General features: G+C 42.2%; 2 pseudogenes across 1 annotated transcript in view; both read right to left on the bottom strand.

The window, feature by feature from the left end:
* Positions 1-4,660: 4,660 nt before the first annotated feature.
* The window catches only part of PRKY (protein kinase Y-linked (pseudogene)), a 107,576-nt pseudogene continuing 87,608 nt past the window's right edge, over positions 4,661-24,628 (bottom strand). Inside the window, exons 6-8 of the transcript NR_028062.1 lie at positions 18,775-18,852; positions 14,319-14,465; positions 4,661-10,496 (exon numbers count right to left, since the gene is read on the bottom strand). The product of NR_028062.1 is annotated as a protein kinase Y-linked (pseudogene) (transcript). The remainder of the gene's footprint in view (positions 10,497-14,318; positions 14,466-18,774; positions 18,853-24,628) is intronic.
* Positions 7,429-7,535, bottom strand: RNU6-941P (RNA, U6 small nuclear 941, pseudogene; annotated as a pseudogene).

Genomic DNA, 24,628 nt, shown 5'->3' with positions numbered 1-24,628 from the left:
AGGATATTGTTAAACATTTAAAAGCTCAAGGCTTAGTAAGGAAATGCAGCAGTCCTTGCAACACCCCAATTCTAGGAGTTCAAAAACCAAATGGTCAGTGGAGACTAGTGCAAGAGCTTAGACTCATCAATGAGGCAGTAATTCCTCTATATCCAGTTATACCCAACCCCTATACCCTCATCTCTCAAATACCAGAGGAAACAGAATGGTTCACTGTTCGGGACCTCCAAGATGCCTTTTTCTGTATTCCGCTGCACTCTCTCAGTTTCTCTTTGCCTTTGAGGATCCCACAGACCACATGTCCCAACTTACATGGATGGTCTTGCCCCAAAGGTTTAGGGATAGCCTTCATCTGTTTGGTCAGGCACTGGCCCACAGTCTAGGCCACTTCTCCAGTCCAGGCACTCTGATCCTTCAGTATGTGGATGATTTACTTCTGGCTACCAGTTCAGAAGCCTTATGCCAGCAGGCTACTGTAGAGCTCTTGAATTTTCTAGCTAATCAAGGGTACAAGGCATCTAGGTCAAAGGCCCAGCTTTGCCTACAGCAGATCAAATATCTAGGCCTAATCTTAGCTAGAGGGATGAGGGCCCTCAGCAAGGAATGAATACAGCCTATACTGGCTTATCCTCACCCTAAGATATTAAAACAGATGCAGGGGTTCCTTGGAATCACCAGCTTTTGCCGACTATGGATCCCCAGATACAGTGAGACAGTGAGATCAATTATGGGAAGAATAAGCATTTACATCACAGAAGCTGTCAAAGGCTACAAGTTGGGGCTTTATTTTACCCAGGGGAAATGGCTCACCAGCACAGCAGCCTCTTCCTCTTCTTTATTTATTTTATTTTATTTTATTTTTTGAGACAGGGTCTTGCTCTGTCACCTGCACTGGAGTGCAGTGGTGCAATCATAGCTCACTGCAGTCTCTACCTCTGGGGCTCAAGTAAACCTCCCACCTTAGTCTCCCAAGTAGCTGCAGCCACAGGTGCACACCATCACCACACTCAACTCATTTTTTTAATTTTTTGTAGAGACAGGGTCTTGCTATGTTGCCCAGGCTGGTCTTGAATTCCTGGGCTGAAGTGATCCTCCTGCCTTTGCCCGCCGAAGTGCTGGGATTACAGGTGTGAGCCACTGTGTCTGGCATAACAGAGTTTTCCATCTTCTTAATGTTGTTCTCTTTTTTTGTCTTGTTTTTTGAACCACACAGGAGACTTAATAATCCCTTACAGTCTTGAAAGGACAATGGTAGCCTGATATTTAAGGAGTTCTTTTCATCTGGCCAGCTACTGGCTTGTTTTTAAGTTGTCAAGAGAATGCCAGTGATAGTGGGGATATATCAAAAAGTAAATGTGTGACAAAGTCTGGAATGCCTGTAGGAAAAACTCTGAGGTACTAAAGAGTTCTGGAAAAAAGGAGATTTCCAGCAGCCTAAATGTAAATTTTAGCAAAAAATATATTCCATGAGCAGCTATCACTTAACCAATACAAAGCAGATGGGTAAACCTAGGAACAAAAATAATTCTCAATATAGAAATAAAATGCACTGTAATCTATTATTCAAAATAACTGGCAGAAGAGACAATAAACTACTTCAACACATCTACTAATTTACTTCCAAATGTTACCTAAATATGGCAGGTCCACAACTACTAGCGAATATTCACGTTACACACAGACTATGAAATAAAACACAAAATGGGCACTCATAAAAAATAAAATTAATGAAAGTTTTATTTGGCATTAATAACCTAACATGACATGGAAACCCTTTACTATGTGATTAGTTGCAAAGTTCAGAAGTTGAAGGAATAGGGAAAGATGGTTTATAACAATTGTTTAGTTTTTGTTTTGTTTTTTTTTTTTTTGAGACGGAATCTCACTCTTGTTGCCCAGGCTGAAGTGCAATGGCGCAATCTCAGCTCACTGCAGCCTCCACCTCCCGGTTCAAGTGATTCTCCTGCCTCAGCCTCCAGAGTAGCTGGGACTACAGGCGCATGCCACCATGCCCAGCTAATTTTTGTATTTTTAGTATACAGACAGGGTTTTGCCATGTTGGCCAGGCTGGTCTCTAACTCCTGACCTCAGGTGATCCACCTGCCTCAGGCTCCCAACGTTCTGGGATTACAGGCATGAGCCATGGTGCCCAGCCCTGATTATTTTATGTAGTATTGTTTGTAACATAAAAGTGGCAAACCATTTAATTCTCTTTTTCTTAGGCAACTAGATAAATTACAATGAACCTTATTCATAATGTCATACCATGACTGCAAATGAAAATACAGCATGATGGAGGAGAATCATCACTAATACAGTTTCACATGAGGAATGCAACACCTACGTTATCAGATACTGTTCTAGGTGCCAGGGTTTCAACAAACCCAACCAAAGACCAAATTCCTTGCCTGCCTGGAGTTTGCATTCTAGTGGGATGAGGAAGACAATAAACAAAGTAAGTAAGAAAAGGGTACAAACCAGTAGAAAGTGCTCAGTGATGGAGAGAAAAAATAAATAACTTTGGGAAAGTGGTAGACAGTGTTGGAAACAAGTTAAAATTTTAAATAAAGTGCTGGAGGAATTGAGAAGATATTTGAGCAAAGAGTTGAAGATGGTGAAGGTGAACGCTATGCTGGTATCTAGAAGAAAAGGGCCAGAGCAAAGGCCCCATGGCAGGAGCTTTTGGGATGTGTTCTAAATCAGCAGAGTCCAGGCATTGGCAGTGGATGCCCTGGAGAGAGACTCTGGGACATTATTGACAGCGGATAATGGAGATGCTCCTACACTGTTGTTATAATGTTATTTTGTCTTCTGAGTGCAACAGAGAGCTATTGGAGGTTTCTGATCAGAAAGGGAGCCCACAGCAATAATTACTGCCCCTATTTGAAGATGGATCCATTAATACGGAGAACAGCTTAAGAAACATGCCCAACACGATGGCCCCAGTGAGAAGCAGAGCCTGACCCACGTCTCTGACTCATGACTCAAGGCACTTTCAGGCACCCGAGGCTCTTACTTACAATTCACTACGCTGTTCATAGAAATATTTCCTGTTTGGCAAAAGATCAAATGTTGACTTGGCGACATTGACTAAAATCCTGAGATGAATTCAGAGAAAGGAAAGGCAACACATCAGAAAAAAATATCCTTCAAATGCCCACTGCAAGAGATCTTTATACCTCTTTTCTATTTCTTGTTGTGAAAGCTTAAAGGAAGATCACCATTCAAGTTCTGGTTCTTTGTTTTGCTCTCAGTTGATGGCTCCCAAATGGTCCCCAATCTTATTTTTCTAAGTAGTGGTTTTCAACCAGGGGAGATTTTACCTCCCAGGGGCTTTTGGCAATGTCTGGAGACATTTTTAGTTGTCATCACAGGAGTGGGGGCCAAGGGGGATACTGGTATCTAGGGAGTAGAGGCCAAAGATGTCTATCAGCATCCTATAATGCATAGAATGGCACCAACGACCAAGAATCACCCAACCTCAGATGTCAGCAGTGCTCAGTTAGAGAAACCCTTGGCTTTTGCATGACAAATTCTATCGTTCAACCTATCTAACCATCTATCATCCATCCCTATAAACCTATTGTCTATCATCTATCCCTGTCAACCTATTATCTAACGTCTATCTATTCATCTATATCTATCTACCTGTCATCTACCTATCTACACACACACACACACACACACACACACACACACACACCCCTCCTGGGCTCAAGCAATTTTCTTACCTCAGCCTCCTGAGTAGTTAGGACTACAGGCATGCACCACAACATCCAGCTAATTTTTTCATTTTTTTTGTAGAGACAGGCTCTCACTAGGTTGCCTAGCTCAAGTTTTATAAATTGTAATAGAACTGTGAAGCCCATATAACAATTACCAAAGTAGATACTGATAGAGAACTCTATACATGATGAAGTGGTTTTATTTCTGGGATATGTTTTAAGACTTATTTTCATTGTCACAAATGCTGTAACATTTACAATACGAAACATGACAATATTTACATATTACAATATTAAAAAATTTTAAAAATAATTAAGCCATTTAAAATATTGACTAATTCAAATTTGAAAAGCTAACCAAACCCCTCAAAAAGATATAAATTTTTTAAAAATGAGCCATCAAAATTTATTCTGCCTGTCTAGAAAGAGTATATTTACTACAATCTTTGCAGCCTAGAATAAGGATGATCTGTCATTACTTAAAGAACACATTTAAAGGCAGAAAGCTAAGCTAAACTTCGGTGAAGATAAAGGGACAGAAAATGTTAGGGAATAGCCAAATCAGGTGAAGAGTAAGAAAATAAAGGTATAGGATCAAGATATAGGCAAATGGTTAAAATGTTCTGTGAACCCTGAAGGAGTCATCGCTGAAGGTGGGTCCCAAGTCACTCAATGGGACTACATTGTCCAGGCTGGTCTCAAACGCCTGGGCTTAAGCAATCCTCCTGCCTTGGCCCCCGAAAGCACTGCACTTATAGGCATGCACCTCCGTGCCTAATTATAGCAGCTTTTTTGCACCCTGTGCAGCAGAGACTGTGTATCCTGCAATGCGGAATATCTGCCATGTGGTCCCTACAGATAATTGCCCATCCCTGGATTAGACCAAAGGAGAAAAGTCACAGCTTGTTTGGAAACAGAAGCGACAAAACTCAGACTTCTGAAAAGATATAAAGTTTTATTAAACAAACCTAGAATCATCAGTATTATTACATAAATTAGACAGCGGTAAAATTTTCCTAGGGCATATGTACAAATCACAGTGATTTCCATTGCGCAACAAACAAGATTAAAAATAGGCACTCCCCTCCCTGACCCCCCATGAGAAGGTGGGGTCACTCCGCGGGGTTCCCAGTTCTGGCTCGCCAAGGGGTGCACAAACCTGCCAAGGCACTCTGCCTGTGTGCACAGCATCCGGCAGCAGTCACAGGGGCCCCAGAAGCACGTTGGCAACAAGGTGAGGCTGCCCAGTGTTCAGCACAAAAAAAGAATTCAGCTGTGACAGCTGAGCAGAGCTCAACAGCCATCTCAGAGCACAAGGACTGTGGAAAAGCTTCAAATCCCACCTGCTAAAACACAGATGTAATGCTTTTTATATACAGAACAGACATGTCCACCATGGAAGATCAAACTAAGCCTCAACAGAACTTCCCAACACACAACAATTTACAGAGAAACATGACAGAGCATCCCCGTTATTAGGAAGGACTGTACTGCTGGGGGCAAGGCCAGATGGTTTGCAAAGCAAACTTGATTATGAAAAGGCTTGGTGAAAATACAGCCCACCTTCACCAAGACACACACACAGACAGGCACACACCCCAAAGTATCCAAATGCATTAAGACACCTGTTCATGTGCTTTTCTTCTTGCTTTTAAGTGAATCCCGTCCATTTAAGTTATACTAATTAGAAGGCGTTCTTGCCTCCATCAGCAAGAGAAAAACAGTGCATACGACTCCTCCAATGTGTGTAAAATGCATGCTAGGTAGATTGAAGGAAAAACGAGAGGAACCCGGGCACCCCATTTCAAATCTGTACAACTGGAGAAATCAAAGGCTGCAAGGACTGTGTAGACCTGATGCAAAGTTAACTGGCTGCAAAAATAAAACCCAAGCCAGTGCTGTCTTGCACTCTGTTCACTCAGCAGCTGGAGCAATGAATGATTGTGACATTCTGGTGGGGTATTTGTGCAGCCTGAGTTGCACCTGGCTACAGAGTGGAGCCTTGGAGTCTTTAACAGTGTTAAGCCATAGTTTCACAGTTACAATTGTCCAAAGAACTAGAGACCATGTAGGTCAAACACAGAAATGGCGAACAACACATCCCAAACCACTCAACTGTTTAGTTCCACTGGTGATTTTTTTTAATGGGTAGTGATTTCAAATGATTTGGTGTTTTTGTTGCTTTTGCTTTTTCTTCAAAGCAAACAAATAATTTGGTCTTTAAGTATGGACAGAAAGAAACAAAACGCTGAATGAGAAATTCAGTAACAAGTGATTTTGCAGTTGTTTGATGGGCATGGAGAGGGAGTGGGGCTGAACTGCATTTTGAGGGGATGAAGCGTGCAATCTTACCCCACTGCTGGGGGGTTTCTGTTTCTTATTCCATCATGCTGACAGCAAATATAATTTGCCCATCGCTGGCTATAGATATGTTTAGGCTAAGCAGGATTTAGACTTCTGTTGTGAAGGAATTAGAAGAATTCAGTAGATACAGTGTATACTATTCGGTTGTGACTTTATTTCCTTCCTGGCTTTATCAATGCCTATGAAAGCAGGCCGGTGGCATTTCCCTTCAGAAAAACAACCTCTTGTTACTTCTTGTTTTAACATTTCCATTTCCTAAAGATATTCTCTTACTGTATCCCAATTTAAGAAAATACTGCCAATTCATAAAATTACATGGAGCAAAGTAAATTTGTAATGTTTTTCTGATACAAATTTTGTGATTATCGTAAGAATTTTCCTCTACATTTTGCACAGTGATTGTTTCACGATCATCTATGGGAACATTTTGGAATGCCCACCCGGGTCAACTATTTTTATTTATTTTTTTTTTTATTTTTTGAGATGGGAGTCTCACTCCTTCGCCCTGGCTGGAGTGCAGTGGCGCAATCTTGGTTGACTGCAGCCTCCGCCTCCTGAGTTCCATATTCTCCTGCCTCAGCCTCCCGACTAACTGGGATTACAGGCATGTGCCACCACATCTGGCTAATTTTTGTGTTTTTAATAGAGACAAGGGTTTCATCATGTTGGCCAGGCTGGTCTCAAACTCCTGACCTCAGGTGATCTGCCTGCCTTGGCCTCCCAAAGTGCTGGGATTGCAGGCATGACACACTCTGCCAGGTAAACTCTTTTTAAATTATTCAGTGATTGTTCCATGTTTTAGCTCATTTTGATTAAATTAACCTCTATATGACATTGGGACATTTAAATTATGACCCCGCCATGGGCAGTTTCCAGGTAGCCTGTGTCTCTTCAAATGCTGAAATGTGTGTGACGGTCAAAAGTGGGTTTCACACCATCACACGTTCTTGGAATTGCTTCTAATTTCTCATTTGTTCTGTATGGCTGGAGGCTGATCATGATGTCTGTAAAGAACAAGGTCACCAATGTGCTTACATATTTCATTTTCCTGCGTATCAGTTCACAATTAAGGCATTTCAGGCTTTCCTGATGCTAATGCTCATCTGAGTATGAAATCCTGGATAATAAAACAGACAACATAAAATTACACATATGGACTCATGGGTTTATGTACTTTTTAAAGTGTGCTCAAGTGTTTCATTTATGGTTTTATTAATAATTTTTAAAGTAGAATGTTCAATAATATTATTACTATGATTTATTTTTATAGTCAGCAAACATGAGACTTCATGCTTTTCCTTCTAGCTCCACGTCGGTGCACAGTGTAACCTTTTTTTAAAAAAATATGGAATGCTGCATGAATCTGCGGATCTTCCTCGCGCAGGGGGCCATGCTAATCTCCTCTGTGTCATTCCAATTTTAGTATACCTGCTGCCGAAGTCAGCAACAGTTTCACCTTTTCACATTCACAGTAAAACTGATGGGAAACCGCACGCTAAATGTTTAGGCAGCGATGGCCCTCAACTGTTAATCCCAACAGGATGGTGAGTGAGAAGCACAGGCTGAAAATAGAGTTGTCTAAAACATTTCCACATTTCACCATCTGAACATCATTTTCCACTGAGTTATTAATTGTAAAGAGTTTATTCTGCTGAACCTACTAATTATTCTCACCTACTGAGTTGACCGTCACGTGAAGAAAAGGTCACTGATGAAACAGGGTGGCTATGTTCTGTTTCTGTAATTTCACTGTTTTAACATCTTTTTTTTTATATAGAGATGGGGTCTCGCTATGCTGCCCAGGCCAGTCTCAAACTCCCAGGCTCAAGCAATCTTTCTGCTTCAGCTTCCCCAAATCCTAGGATTATAAAAGTGAGCCCTACAACCAGCTTCACTGTCTTTTAAAGCCTTAAAGTGGACGTTCTCTTCATACCACCTTCAAAAGCAAAAAGCCATTGAGGTTTTTTGGGTTTTTTTTTTTTTTTGGAACAGGGTCTCACTCTGTCACCCAGGCTGGAGGGCAATGGTGTGATCTCAGATCACTGTGGCCTGGACCTCCTCAGGCTCAAGTGATCCTCTCATCTCAGCCTCCTGAGTAGCTGAGACTACAGGCATGCTCCACCATGCCCAGTTAACTTTTTTGTATTTTGTAGAGATGAGGTGTTTCCCAGACAGGTATTGAACTCCTGGGCTCAAGCAATCCTCTCGCCCCAGCCTCCCAAAGTGTTACTTAGGATTACAGGTGTGAGCCTGGCCCAGTGCCTTCTTATCTGTAGGCGAACTCTGGCCAAATCTGATTACATTTCCCTTGACATTTTGCTACATTTTTAAAAATGTATGGCTTTTCCTAACAGAAACTCTCCACAGTACTGATGTGTGATATGTGTGCAGAAGAGAGGTAGCAAGTGCTAGAGGGAGAAATCTCTTCCCAGATATTGCTTGGAAAAACAGCTCCAATAGCAAGGAATGCACCGGATGGCTCCAGAGAACCTGAGCTACTGAGTTTTGAGAAGAGATTAGGAGCCGAGGGGACCCAACTGGCTTCTCACTGCACACATTTTCACTAACACATGGCAAGGGTATACTCCACCCCTACTCTGGGTGCAGAAGGAGACAGATGAAGGCAGGGCATGAGAAAAAGAAGAGGTGGAGAAGAAAGTCTTGGAGGTCTGTGTGAGTGTACCCCTGTTGTCAACAAGGAATTCCTGGAAGGCTCCAAAACCTACTTCTTCAATGCACTCACCCCTGCCACAGCTGGGCCCTGTGACCTCATACACAGCAGATTTGAGCAATGCCATATTTGAGGTGAGTCACAGTAAAGAGAAAAGGTGCACCCTCTTCAGATGTCTACAGCCAAGTTTCCAGCCAGGATGGTCCAGAGAAAAAGCAAGGGAGAAAATGAGTTATGTACAAAGCCAGAACCCACACCCTCAGTTTATGCTGTGTCTAGCATGACCCACATTTAGCAAGAGATGTTTCAGAACAAACTCACTGTATGGCTGTCATGACATCAACACCCAGGGAAGAACATCTGGAGGTTGCTCCTTTCAGGTGTCTCCCCAGTCATTTCCCAAGAGAACACTCTCACGCCTGGATTATTCTGCATAAAACAGCATGACTTGTCGAGGAGAGTATTAGGCACACTCAACATGAATATTTAAAAGGAGAAATTAGGAACAGGTGAGGTTCCTTTTGACTCTGCCACCCACTCACATCCTATAGATCATCTGTTTCTCGCTTTTCCCAAAACTAAAGGTGAAATAAAATCTCTGCATGAAGGTCAGCCTTATAGATGAGCTGATCTTAAAAGTTATTTGTGAACTGTGGGAGGTGTATTTTTTCAAAAAATTTCAACTGGGACTTTAATAGGTAGCCATTTCCCTGTGCAGGATGAATTTTTTTTTTAATACAGGGTCTTGCTCTGTCGTCCAGGCTGGAGTGCACTGGCACAATCAGGGCTCACTGCAGCCTCAACCTCTTGAGCTCAAGCCATCCTCCTACCACAGCTCCTGAATAGCTGGGACTACAGGTATGCACAATGACACCCGACTAATTTTTATAATTTGTGTAAATTCCATACAGACAGGGTTTCACTATGTTGCCCAAGCTGGTCTCAAACTCCTGGCCTTAAGCAATCCTCCCAACCCAGGTTCCCAGAGTGCTGGGACTACAGGAACAAGCCACTGCACCTAGCCTAGATGAAATTTTTTAATGTGACACAGGTTTTCTGAATACAATGCATTGCTCCAACAACTTCAAAGTCATTGTGGATTCCTGCAATAAATTCGCTCCCACATCTTCTCCATGTTTCTTCTTTTAAAGTCTCAAGTTACTAGGTAGGAAGAACTAAAGATACTGAATGTAGACACCCCCGGCCCCCGGATATCTTATTCCCCCAAACTATACAATGCATATGAGATGATTTTTTTAAAAATGCATGCAACATACCCTTCAGATGTTGTCCCCAAGAGAAGGGAAGATAATTTGAGAAACTGAATTGAAAAATAAAAATAATAGGCTCTGTGAAGTATGTATATTTACATCACTGCACAATTTGTGCATCTGCCATAATGACTTCTATATATACACACACACACACACACACAATTTGTGGTTATAATCAAATAAGTCCAGTTCAAACTTATAAAGTCTATGAGAAAAACCAAGACAACACCAAAAGATAAGATAAAATCTATAACGAAACAATTTTCAAAACCTTCCTACAGTGTGGAATTCTGGTTGCTTAAATAATGCCAGTTCCATGAATTTCAACTGTGCTCTGATCTATTTCTATACACACAGGTACAGAGAAAACTGGAAATGTCCTCAGGCCGTGAAGAAGACATTTTGCTTCTGGTCTGCTTAGGTGCAGTTCTTTGTTCCAGGCAGATTCCAATCTTCCTGTTTCTAGCATGAAATAGGATGAAAGATTTTATGAGTTGCTCAGTAACTGGATGAATTTTGTAATCATCATCTCAATGATAATACAAAGGTTTCCTTTTCCTAAGTGATAACAAAGAAAACTTCCCTTTGTAATTCTTTTTGCAAGGATCCATAAGCGTGAATTCTAAAAGGAGAGGCCAATAAAAAGGAAATGAAGAATGTTTTAAAGGTAAGGGGTTTTTTTGGTTGGTTTGTTTGAGACGGAGTACAATGGTGCGATCTCAGCTCACTGCAACCTCCGCCTCCAACTTCAAGTGATTCTGCTACCTCAGCCTCCTGAGTAGCTGGGGTTACAGGTGCCCGCCACCACGCCTGGCTAATTTTTGTATTTTTTGTAGAGACAGGGTTTCACCATATTGGCCAGGCTCAGCTCCAACTCCTGACCTCAGATAATGTGCCCACCTCCGCCTCCCAAGGTGCTGGGATTACAGGTGTGAGCCACTGTGCCCAGCCCTGTTTTCATTTTTGAGATAAGTCTAACTCTGCTACCCAGGCCAGAGTACAGGCACAATCACAGCTCACTGCAGCTTCAACTTTCCTGGCCCAAGCGAGCCTCCCACCTCAGCCTCTAGAATAGCTGGGACAACAGGTATGTATCACCACGCCTGGCTTTTTTATTTTTTGTAGAGATGGGGTCTCACTATGTTGCCCAGGCTTGATCTCAAACTCCTGACCTCAAATGAGCCTCCCACCTTGGCCTCCCAAACTGCCAGTATTACAGGTAGGAGCCACCACACCCAGTCTAGAGAATGTCCTATCACATGCTTATCTATAAATAGATAAATTTATCCACCGATAGATGAACTACACAAGAAAAATGGGATCCCTAATTCAATATGCTTCCTCAGAGAACCTTACAGCAAGACAGAAAATATTTTATTACAAAGTAAAATAAAAGACATAATGAGTCAGTTCTCCTAAATTCCTCCTCCACATTCAGAAAGTCATGCAGGGTGATTCAAACAAAGATGAACAGCTAAAGCATAGTGTGGTTTTTTTTGTTTTGTTTTTTGAGGAGTCTCACTCTGTCGCCAGTCTGGAGTGCAGTGACGTGATCTCAGCTCACTGCAACCTCTGCCTCCTGGGTTCCAGTGATTGTCCTGCCTCAGCCTCCTGAGTAACTGAGACTACAGGCGTGTGCCACCATGCCCAGCTAATTTTTTGTATTTTAGTAGAGATGGGGTTTCACCACGTTGGCCAGGGAGGTCTCAATCTCCTGACCTCGTGATCTGCCCACCTCGGCTTCCCAAAGTGCTGGAATTACAGGTGTGAGCCACCACGCCCGGCCTAAAGCACAGTTTCTAAGCTGCCTTCAAGTGCAGTGATTCATCTGAACTGGTGTCTTATTCACAGGAGAAGATTTGGTTTCATGAAGAAATATCTTCCTGCATAAAATTCCTGAACCTAATCTCTCTTCACTGAAAATGCCAGAGATGTGTTTGGTGTACAAATTACTTTCGATAAAATTACTGAGATAGATTAAAATATTGCATATGGGCTGGGAGCAGTGGATCACACCTGTAATCCCAGCACTTTTGGAGGCCAAGGCGGGTGGATTACCTGAGCTCAGTAGTTTGACACCAGCCTGGCCAACATGGTGAAACCTCTACTAAAAATACAAAAACTTAGCCTAGTGTGGTGGCATGCACCTGTAAACCCAGCTACTCAGGAGGCTGAGGCAGGAGAATTACTTGAACCCAGGAGGCAGAGGTTGCAGTGAGCCAAGATAGTGCCACCGCACTCCAGCCTGGGCAACAGAGCATGACTTTGTCTCAAAATAAATAAATAAATAAATAAATAAAATAAAATTCATTAAACAGAGCCCTGACCACTAGCCAAACTATATTAAAAATGATTCCAGCCGGGCACAGTGGCTCGCGCCTGTAATCCCAGCACTTTGGGAGGCCAAGGTGGGCACATCATGAGGTAAAGGGATCGAGACCAGCCTGACCAACATGGTAAAACCACATCTCTATTAAAAGTACAAAAATTGGCTGGATGTTGTCGCATGCACCTGTAGTCCCAGCTACTAGGGAGGCTGAAGCAGGAGAATCACTTAAACCCAGGAGGCGGAAGTTGCAGTAAGCCGGGATCATGCCACTGCACTCCAGCCTAGCAACAGAGTGAGACTCTGTCTCAAAAAAATAAACAAATAAATAAAAATAATTCCACTTAGCAAAAATAATACTTACACATGCTTTCTCAAGAATACATACCAGACTGAGAAAGGCTAGACCTATGTGTGAAATCTTTTTCAGGGACAGTAGGCGCAGCTGTGGACAGTATGTGATGAAACTATTCACTGATTATGAGACAAAAATCCATCAAGTGGAAGCTTTTTTGTTCTTTAAGTAAATTTTATACTTGAAGGGGTCTCTATTAGAGGAAATATATGGTTTATCAACTAGGGGTCCTTCATACTAAAGCAAACCAGTCTTTACATCATTTTAAAGATTTCCTGGAGAGACACAATTTGTAAGATGTTATGGGCGAGTCAGCTAAAATGTAAGCCCCAGAGTAGAGCAGAGAAACAAAAAGAAGAAAATAATTCAGGAACATCTTATGATTTTTAAAACCCATAAATGGATTTCATGAGCATTTATGAAGTTGGTAAAGTTACACGCTCTCATGTTAATACAAACCAGTCACCACTGTAAAAGCGTTCATCACACACTGAGAGGTGAAGCCATGCCATGGAGACAGGTTATCTTCTCAAGGTCATAGCCACCTATTCCTCTATCATTTTTTTGTCTATTATTTCAATTTGTATCCAGCTTTCCTCTTGGTACATCCATGTAAACACCTGCCCAGGACGGAGGGCTCTCATTCACCACATCTTTCAGCAGGTTGGTTCCTCTCCCCAGTCAGCAATTGTGACATTTGGTGTCTGTTTCAAATGGTGTTGGTTAGCCAATTGGCTTTCCACTTCACATAACTGGGAAGACTACAGGAAAATTACGGGAATGGAAATCAAAATGGGAAAAACAAGCTATGTCAATGAATAGACACATCACTGACAATATTTTGCTTCACTGGTATTTTTCTTGCTTGTATGTTACAGGAAGAAAGATCTAGTTAAAGACATACAAGCAGTTTAGAATTGAGGAGTAACTGGAAGCTCTTTTTAATCCATACTTAAAAACTAATAATAGATTTTCAAAGGCCCAAGGAAATAACACAGTCAAAACCCTTTTTCAGTCATCTTAAATTAAAGCTTAGCAAATTTCATGAGGGATTCTTAAAAAATATTATTATTATTTAAAAAATAATAGACCTTCAAAGCCTCAAAGAAGTAATAGATTCAAAATCCTTTTCCAGTCATCTTCAATTAAGCTTAGCAAATTTCCTATGAGAGTACATTTCTTCTTACTATTTTTTAACCAAAGGAGACCTAAAGAGACTTTTGAAAATACTTGTTAATTATTCTAAGGAAGCTCGCCTGTCACTCAGGGTTTCTGGAACAGGGACCAGAGGAGCTGGGCTTCTCAAATATTCAGGCACACACAAACCACCTAGCGGTCTTATTTAGACATGCAGGTTCTGATGCATGTCCAGAACATGGATTCTGGACTGTCATGCTGATGCCTCTGACGGTCACATGCTGACCTGGAGTCACAGGCATGGCTGTGTTTATTTCGCTGACCCTTGCAATCAATCCCCTTTGCTCTGCTTCACTGCTGACCTCTGTGTGCATGAGGTTAAGCCCCACTCAGTAAACACAGCCTCACCTGGATGTGGGGTCCAGCCAGTCTCATTTTCTGGTAATTACTAAATATAAAGATATACCTTCCAGATGTGAGCTCGTCCTCAGAAATTCTTGAAGATTTCTAAATCCTTCTGCGGCACGGGCGCGGCTGTGTCCCAGTCATGCTCAGGGTAAGTTTCGAAGTTGGAAGTGTCGCCGTTGCCAGCTATCGTGGGCACGATGGGAGGCTATAAGACATGGCCGAAGCATGAAGGCATGGTTAGAAAGGAACAGGACGCTTGGACGCTGCATATACCCCTTTACTTCTGTCACTGTACCTAAAAATGAAAATGATTTGCAAAACACTAAAGCTGTCTTCCCTTCATTTATGAATGAAGCAATCTTGGAATTAAAATATTGTGAATGAGGCTGCGTGTGGGGACTCACACCTGTAATCCCAACACTTTAAGAAGCTGAGGCAGGAGGGTCGCTTGAGCCTCAGAAGTTTGAGACCAGCCTGGGGAACACAGGGAGTCCCCTGTCTCTACAAAAAATACAAACAATTAGCTGGGTGTGGTGCTGTGTGCCTGCAGTCTCAACTACTCAGTAGGCTGAGGTGGGAAGACTGCTTGAGCTCAGGAGGTCGATACTCCAAGTGAGCCATGATTGCACCACTGCATTCCAGCCTGAAAGACAGAGTGAGATCCTGTCTCAAAATATATACATATATAGTATTAAGTAAGCTATGGTACAGTCATGTGATGGAATACAATGCAGTATTTTTAAAATGAGGAAGCTGGCTGGGTGCAGGGGCTCATGCCTGTAATCCCAGCACTATGGGAGGCCAAGGTGGGCGGATCGCCTGAGGTCAGGAGTTCAAGTCCAGCCCGGCCAACATCTCGAAACCCTGTCTCTACCGAGAATACAAAAATTAGCCAGGCATAGTGGTGGGTGCCTGTAATCCTGGCTACTCGGGAGGCTGAGGCAGGAGAATCGCTTCAACCTGGGAGGTGGAGGTTGCAGTGAGCCGAGATCGCACCACTGAACTCCAGCCTGGGCAACGGAGTGAGACTTTGTCTTAAAAAAAAAAAAAGGAAGCTAGCCAGGTATGTAGACAGGTCCAAATTATACAGTCAAGTGCAAAAAGCAAGACTATAATCATGTACATACTATGCTACTCTAGATTTGTATAAATGAGTGGCAAAAATAAGAATGCATGTATCCATGTGGGTTTTTATTAGCACAAAGAAACTCTAGAAGGATACACAGAAAAATTTAATAAAAGATGATTACCTACAGGTGGCTTGGAGGGGGTAAAAGGGAGACTTGGCAATATATCTGTTTTAATATTGACTTGGTTTTTGACCAATGTGGATAGATAAAATGTATTCAAACTGTTTTTTTAATGCAATTTAATACAATAAAGTATCTGAAAAGGTAAAACTTTGTGAACAAAATGATGTGCATCAGCCCAGTCCCGGTGGTTCACGCTTGTAATCTCAATACTTTGGGAGGCCAAGGAGAGTGGATTATTTGAGGTCATGAGTTAGAGACCAGCCTGGCCAACATAGTGAAACCCCGTCTCTTCTACAACTACAAAAAAAATCAGCTGGGTGTGGTGATGCACACCTGTAATCCCAGCTACTTGGGAGGCTAAGGCAGAAGAATCGCTTGAACCCAGGAGATGGGGGTTGCAGTGAGTTGAGATTGCTCCACTGCACTCCAGCCTGAGCAACAAAGTGAGACTCCATTTCAAAAAAAAAAAAAAGAAGTGTATCATCCCAGGCTCCAGCCCCAGACTCTGGTCTGAGCTGAGGACAGGTAATTAGCACTTCTAAGCATTCTCCATTCTTTTGACTCTGAAGTGCAAAGGTGAAAACACTACCATTGAACACTCCCATCAGTAACATATGCAATTCAGAGTGTTCACAAAAGCCAAGATATGGAATCAACCTAAGTGTCCACCAATGGATGAATGGATAAAGAAAGTGTGGTCCATACACACAATGAAAAACTATTCAGCCGTAAAATGGAATGAAATCCTGTCATTTACAGCACCATGAATGGAATGGGAGATCATTATGTTAAGTAAACTAAGCCAGGCTGGGTGTGGCAGCTCATGCCTGTAATCCCATCACTTTGGGAGACCAAGGCTCATGGATCACTTGAGGTTAGGAGATTGAGACCAGCCTGGCCAACATGGTGAAACCCCATCTCTAGTAAAAATACAAAAATTAGCTGGGCATCTGTAATCCCAGCTACTCAAGAGGCTAAGGCATGAGAATTGCTTGAAGCCAGGAGGTGGAGGCTTCTGTGAGCAAGATCGTGCCACTGCACTCCAGCCTGGGCAACAGAGCAAGATGCTGTTCCAGAAAACAAAAATAAATAATAAATAAACTAAGCCAGATGCAGAATGAGAAATACAAGCACATTCCCACTCACATGTGGAAACTAAAAATGTTGATCTCATGAAGCTTGACAGTAGCATGATGATTACCAGAGAGTGGGAAGGGTGTGTGGGTGGGGGATGAAGGGGAAATGAAGAACTCTTGGCTAAAGGGTACAAACATTCCGATAGATAAAAGGAGTAAGTTCTATTGTTTGACAGCATAGTTGGGTGGCCAGAGTTAACAACAATATATTGTATATTTCAGAATAGCTAGAAGATTTGCAATATTCCCAACCCATAAAAATGATAATGTTTGAGCTGATGGATACCCTGATTACCCTTAGTTGATCATTACACATTTTTTTTTCTTTTTTTTTTTCCTCCTTTTTTTTAGATGGAGTCTCGCTCTGTCGCCCAGGCTGGAGTGCAGTGGTGCGATCTCGGCTCACTGCAATTTCTAATGCCTGCATTCAAGGAATTCTCTGCCTCAGCCTCCAGAGTAGCTGGGATTACCGGCAAGTGCCACCATGCTCAGCTAACTTTTGTATTTTTAGTAGACACGGTGTTTCACCATCGTGGCCCAGCTGGTCTTGAACTCCTGACCTCATGATCCACCAGCCTTAGCCTCCGAAAGTGCTGGGATTACAGGCATAAACCAGTATGCCTGGCCAATACATTCTATGCGTGTGTTGAAATATAACATGTACACCCATAAATATGTACATGTGATAGTTACACCGCTTAGCACCTATGTAACCTTCAACACACTGCTTAACTTCTCTGAGGCAGTCTACTCATTTATAAAATGGACAAGTATTACATATTGATAAAAATGCCAGATTTTTTTTTTTTTGAGATGGAGTTTCGCTCTGTCACCAGGCTGGAGTGCAGTGGCATGATTTCAGCTCACTGCAATCTCCGCATGCCAGGTTCAAGCAATTCTCCTTCCTCAGCCTCTGAAGTAGCTGGGACTACCAGCATGCACCACCATGCCCAGTTAATTTTTGTATTTTTAGTAAAGACAGGGTTTCACCATGTTGGCCAGGATGGTCTCGATCTCTTGACCTCGTGATCTGCCCACTGAGGCCTCCCAAAGTGCTCGGATTGCAGGGTTTTTTTTTTTTTGAAATGGGATCCAGCTCTGTCACCCAGGCTGCAGGGCAGTGGCACAATCTCAGCTCACTGCAACCTCCACCTCCTGGAATCAAGCAATTCTCATGCCTCAGCCTCCCAAGAAGTTGGGAAGACAAGCATATGCCACCACGCCTGGCTAATTTTTGTATTTTTTGTAGAGATGGGATTTCACCGTATTGCTCAGGCCAGTCTTAAACGCCTGAGTTCGAGCGATCTGCCCAAACTGGCCTCTAAAAGTGCTGCAATTATAGGAGTGAGCCACTGCACCCAGACAAAAAGCCAGATGTGCAGTTTGGCCAGAAATGTTCCAAAGAATATTCTCCATGTAACACCACCATCACTGAACAATGACCATGGTGCTAGACACTTGCTTATCTCTGTAATCCTGCTTACCACTTTCCACTAGAGGACGGAGTGGGATTCACTAGTCACAGAGCTAGTCAGGAATCGGGCCAGGTCTTCTAAAATCTGCTTCAAAATCTGGGACGAGTGTCCATCCATGGATGAATGGACAAAGAACATATGATATATGACTGGGTGTGGTGGCTCCTGCCTGTCATCCCTGCACTTTGGGAGGCCGAGGTGGGAGAATCACCTGAGACCAGGAGTTCTGATCAGCCTGGGCAACATAGTGAGAACCCAATTCTTAAAAAAAAAAAAAAAAAAAAAAAAAAAAACAAGAAAGAAAAAATGTGGTATACAGACATGGTAGAATACTACTAGGCTATAAAAAAAAAATAATGAAATCTTGTTATTTGCAGCAACATGGATGGAACTGAGATCCATCTGTTAAGTAAAATAAGCCAGACACGGAAAGACAAACATTACATGTCCTCACCCCTTTGTGGGAGCTAATTAGCACTAAGACACTCATAGAGTGGGTAACTTGGCTTATGAATGGTTTTAGACAAAGAGTTGTGTTACATAAATTAATTACGTCTCAGTCATCAATAAAGAAGTCCCAGGATTCAGAGGCAGTCCCTGTTCATAAGAGAGCTCGGGCATACTGAGTCACCCACTGATACATGTTGTACCTTCAGTTTTCTCTGCGGAACAGCTTTCCAGTCCACGGAGCGGAACCACCGATGGTGTTTCACATCATTCGCCCCGTTCTTCAAAAGAAACAACACGTGTCGTCAGTGTACAGAATTTTGACAGGGCAGGAAAGAAAAATACCCCAAATAATCTCTACATTATTTTAGTATTGAAACAAACAGACCAAGTTTGCTGCATTTTGGAGAACTGTGCCTGGAGGGTGAGCTGCCAGGAAAACCTGCAAGCAAAGCTGTTAGTGTTTTGTTTGCCCTTTTTTGTCGCAGAAACAAATCCAGTCATTCTGCTCCTGTGCAATGCATTTGCATTCCGGACCAAAGACGAAAAAGGTAAATACGATTCCATCTCTCGACATAAAATTGAACAGCCAGTAATTTCTCAGTTTGTCTCCTGTTTTCGTCTTGGCAAACTTACTCAGTATTTTACAGACATAGAAACTAGGGTTCAAGGAATGATGTTAATTTGCTCCGTAGGACCCAGCAAGTAAATAACAAGACTGGGAACTCAAACCAAGGATGTCCAGTTTAAGAGACCTTAGGAACGACATTGCACGGCCTGGCAATTAACAAGGTGTGTTCAAGTCGGCCTGCTTCATGCTCAAGGGTAGCACCAGGCATCGCTGGCTCACACTGTGGCCATCACGACCTCTGAAATCCCTCCCAAGTGCTCATCCGTAAACCTCACTCTGCTTCCTTTTCTTATACTTGTAGTGATGTTGTTATCAATTAAATGTGGGACAGCAGAAGAAATAAACATAGGTTCCATGAAACAGAAGCCAGTACGTCTGAATTTAACACGTCTATCAGTTAGCATTTCTGTAGTTTTAAATTTCTTATCCTTAAAGAGGACTACGTCCACGACCATATCTTCAAAAGGAAAAAATGTGAATTTTTTCTATTGTTTTCCCATCCAGTTGTTTTGACAATTTTTTCTTTTCTTATTGCAAAACAGGTATTTTTGATCTATAGCTAAGTCAGGCAACAAACAATAGCTGTTGAGTTTTACCTTCAGCAATGTTGTGAATAAGAATAAATAAGAGTGCTGTGAATAAAATAAGAGAATAAAATAAAACAAATTTTATCCATCAGATAAAATTCTAATTTGGATACTAAAGGATGTGTGTGTCTGGGTATACTCACATGCATACATAGTAATAAATAAACACATATATTTATATACACACATATATATTTATATATACACATACTTATATACATACACACATTAATATATACATATATATGTATATATACACATACTTATACGCATACACACGTTAATATATACACATATTTATATATACAAATACTTATATGCATACACACGTTAATATACACACATACATTTATATATACACATACTTATATGCATATACGTTAATATATATTTATATACACACATACTTATATACATACACACAATATATACACATACATATATATACACGTACGTATACACATACACACATTTATACACACATATATTTATATGTACACATACTTTTAAATACACATAAGTATCCAGATTAGTGTGTGTGTGTCTGTGTGTGTATGATATAAAGTGTGTGGGGGGTGGGAGCAGTGGCTTACATTTATATTCCAGCATCTTGGGAGGCCAAGGCAGGAGGAATGCTTGAGCCCAGGGCTTTGAGACTAACCTGGGCAACAAAGTCAAACTTGGTCTTTACAAAAAAATATTAAAAATTAGCCAGGCATGGTGGTGCATGCATGTAGTCCCAGCTATTTGGGAGGCTGAGGTGGGAGGATCACTTGAGTCTAGGAGGTCAAGGCTGCAATAAGCTGTGATTACACAACTGCACTCCAGCCTGGGTGACAGAGCAAAACCTTGTCTTAAAAAAAAAAAAATTGTGTGTATGTGTGTGTCTACAGTCATGGGCCTCAAAATGACACTTCAGTCAACAATGAATGTCATATACAGTGGTGCTCCCATAAGATTATAATGATCTTAAAAACTCCTATCCCCTAGTGACATCATGGCCATTGTAACCACAGGACAGAGCATCCCTCCTGTTGCACTGCCAGCCATGTAACAGTCTAACACATACGTTATCTGCAGCACCTAATAGTTGGTAATGATAATAAATGACTGTTTCCCTGATTTATCTATTTACTATATTCTACTTTTTTTTTTTTTTTTTAAGATGCAGTTTCACTCTGTCATCCAGGCTGGAGTGCAATGGTGCCATCTTGTCTCACTGCAACCTACCCCTACTGAGTTCAAGCAATTCTCGTGCCTCAGCCTTCCAAGTAGCTGGGTTACAGGCATGCACCACCATGCCTAGCTAATTTTTGTATACTGTGTAGAGATGGGGCCTCACTGTTGTTGCCCGCACTGGTCTGGAACTCCCAGGATCAAACAATCCTTCTGCCTTGGTCTCCTGAAGTCCTGGGATTACAGGTGTGAGCCACCACACCCAGCATCACACTCTATATCTATATACCTATATTATATATCTATATATTTATACTTATATATGTATTATATTATATATTATTTATATTTCTAAATATAAATATATTTACATATTTCTAAGTATGTACACTATATATTTACAGATATATAAATATCAATATATAAATATATAAATTATAGATAAATCTACATAATGCACAATTATCTATTTATATAATGTACAGATAAATCTATATTCCTTTGACCTTTTTGTATGCTGGTTTGTATATGAAGTGTATAAAAATGCAATGTGTGTATATAGATACCCTTTATATTATATAAATTTGTACATAAATCTTTATATATTTTATATTATATAAACTGTGTGTGCCAATGCATGTGTGTGCCAATGCATGTGTGTGTATAAGGCCAGCTAATAAGAAAAAAAGGAACCCATGTGCTGGGGATTTTCCAAGCGTGAAGGGCACAGCAGTGTCCACAGAGGATGAAGGAGTTCAACAGAATGGATGTGGTTCCAGAAGAAGGAAAGACCCCCGAATGAAGAGGTGCCAAGCAAAGAGAGAAGAACAGCAAAGTGCGATGGTGACAGGTGCAGGAGCAGGTGGCTCATCCATCCTGGCTGCATGAGGGTTCACGGGGAAGACCAGGGAATCATCAGACGAGAAGCACGGGATGAGAGGAAACTGGAAGGTTCTGAGCACCAAGGTAAGGCCCTGGGGCTCCAGGCTATGAATGACAAACCCTTCTTCCTGGTGAAGAGGAGGGATTGATGGGGAAAGTCAGGGGCATGGGGGGCAGTGCCACAGGCAGCTATGAGAACTGCCTGAGAACGCAGTGATACACTCAGGCTGAGGATGGTGGTGCAGCTGAGAGTGGAGAGGTGGTCACAGCAGGAAAAAGAGTAAGTGTTCCTCTCCAGGGCACCCATAGACCAGGGGCTACCCACGAACATAACTCCATTTTAATCAGACAGTTTCTTCCCTGAGAACCTAAAAATAGAATGTAGGCTCCAGCAATCCCACTACTGGGCATACACCCAAAGAAAAAACAAATGAGTATATAATTTGCACCCTCTGCTCATTGCAGCAGGTCAAAACAGCCAAGATGTAGAATCAAGCTACATGCCCATCAAGAGGGCAGTGGATAAAGAAAATGTGTGATATATATACCATGGAGTACTATTCAGCAAGTAAAAGGAGGGAAATGTCATTTTCAAAACATGCATCAACCTGGAGGATAGTATATTAAGAGAAATAAGGTCCAGGCATGGTAACTCAAACCTGTAATCCCAACACTTTGGGAGGCTGACACAGATAGATCACTTGAGGTCACGAGTTCATGACCAGCCTGGCCATCATGGTGAAACCCCATCCGTACCCAAAAATACAAAAATTAGCCAGGTGTGGTGCAATCCCAGCTACTCGGGAGGTTGATGAAGGAGAAACTTTTGAGGTTGCAGTGAGCGGAGATGGCACCACTGTACTCCAGCCTGGGCAATAGAGCACGATTGTCTCACACACACAAAAAAAGAGAGAGAGAAATAAGCCAGGCACAGATAGACAAACACAGTCTGACCTCACTTACATGGGAAATCTAAAAAAGTTGAACTCATAGAAGCAGAGAGTAGAATGGTGGATACCAGGGGCTGGGAAGGGGCTGAGATGGGAAGTCATTGGTCAAAAGAGACAAAGTGAGAGAGACAGGAGGAACAAGTTCAGTCAGTGGCTTGCACAGCTCGGTGACTATAACTAATGATGTATTCTCAAGAATCTCTGGAAGAGTAGATCTTGCTGGGTGCAGTGGCTCTTGCCTGTAATCCTAGCACTTTGTGAGGCTGAGGCGGGCAGATCACTTGAGCCCAGAAGTTGAGACCAGCCTGGGCAACACATTGAGACCCCATCTCTTAAAAACAAATTTTTTCAAAGGGTAGATTAGATCTTAAGTTTTCTCACCACAAATAAATGGTAATTATGTGAGGTAATGCATATGTTAATGAACTCAATGGACCCATTGTTCAATGGGTACATATTTCAAAACTTCATGTTGTACATGATAAATAAAACCATTTTTATTTGTTAATTTTACAAAAATAAAATAAAATAAAGTCAGTGTTTTCTTAAGTCTTTTTCAGTTTATCTCCCTATCAGGAAGATTTAACTAGACTTTAAGACCTAGCTTGAGAGTTTGTGAGCTTTTCCCCAATTCCTTTGATGAGGAAACTTGTTCTTTCCCCTTGGAGGGTACCTATGATGGTCACTACACCACTCCCAGCATATTCTAGATATGGGTCATCTGTGATTCCCTGCAGTCCCAGCAAGAGACCCAGCTCTTTTCTAAATGGCTATGGCATTAAAACAGGACCCGTCCAATCTTATGTAGAGCCGTGGCACAGATGAGTCCACAACGTGCAACCTGGCTGGACAGGCTCCTTGGAGACCTGAAGGTATCGGTTGCTGTCTGCAAATAATGTAAAGGACAGAGGCTTGACTACTGTTATACGGTAAACAATGTCCCTCAAAAAGATATGTGCACATCCTATCCCCCAGTGCCTGTGAATATCACTTTATTTGGAAATAGGGTCTTTGCAGATGTAACTAAATTAAGGTTCTTGAGATGACATCATCCTGGAGAAGGGTGGGCCCTAAATCCAGTGACAGGTGTCCTCATAAGAGACAGAGGAGGAGACACAAACATAGAGGAGAAGGCCATGTGAAAATGGAGGTGGAGACTGCAGTGGTGTGGCCACAAGCCCAGGGATGCCTGGAGCCCCCAGGAGCTGGGAGAGGCAGGAAGGATCCCCCCCTAGAGCCTCTAGCAGGAAGTGGAAACAATTATTACACACTGGGCAGTGGCCCCCAAAATATATGCCGATGTCCTGACTCCCAATACCCGGCAATGGAACCCTACATGCAAATAGGGTCTTTGTAAATGTAATTAAGGGAAGGCTCTTAAGATGAGATAATCCTGCATTAGGGTGGCCCTAAACCCAATGACAGGTGTACTTCTGAAAGAGAGAACAGAAGACACAGACCCAGAGGAGAAGACTACATGGAGGCGGAGGCAGAGACTAGAGCGATGTGTCCACAAGCCCAGGGATGCTTGGAGCCCCTAGGAGCTGGGAGAGGCAGAAAAGATCCTCCCCTAGAGCCTCTGGAGGCCTGAGACATCTGATCTCAGAGTCCTGGCTTCCACGACTGGGACTGGGAGAGCATCAATTCCTGTTGTTTAAGCCCCTTGTTTGTGGTCAGTTGTTATGGCAGTCACTGGAGACTCCCAAACCACACAGAGGATGCAACATGAACCCAAGAGAGCCAAGTGGTTCAACCCTCACACCCTGGTGTACTGTGTCTCTCCAAAATGGAATTTACAGGGTCAAGATGAATATGGAAGACCCTCCATGTA

This window comes from Homo sapiens, chromosome Y (assembly GCF_000001405.40).
Source record: "Homo sapiens chromosome Y, GRCh38.p14 Primary Assembly".
Classification (NCBI taxonomy): Eukaryota; Metazoa; Chordata; class Mammalia; order Primates; family Hominidae; genus Homo; species Homo sapiens.
Note: the sequence above shows the minus strand (reverse complement) of the source record. Positions and strands in the feature narration are given on the sequence as shown.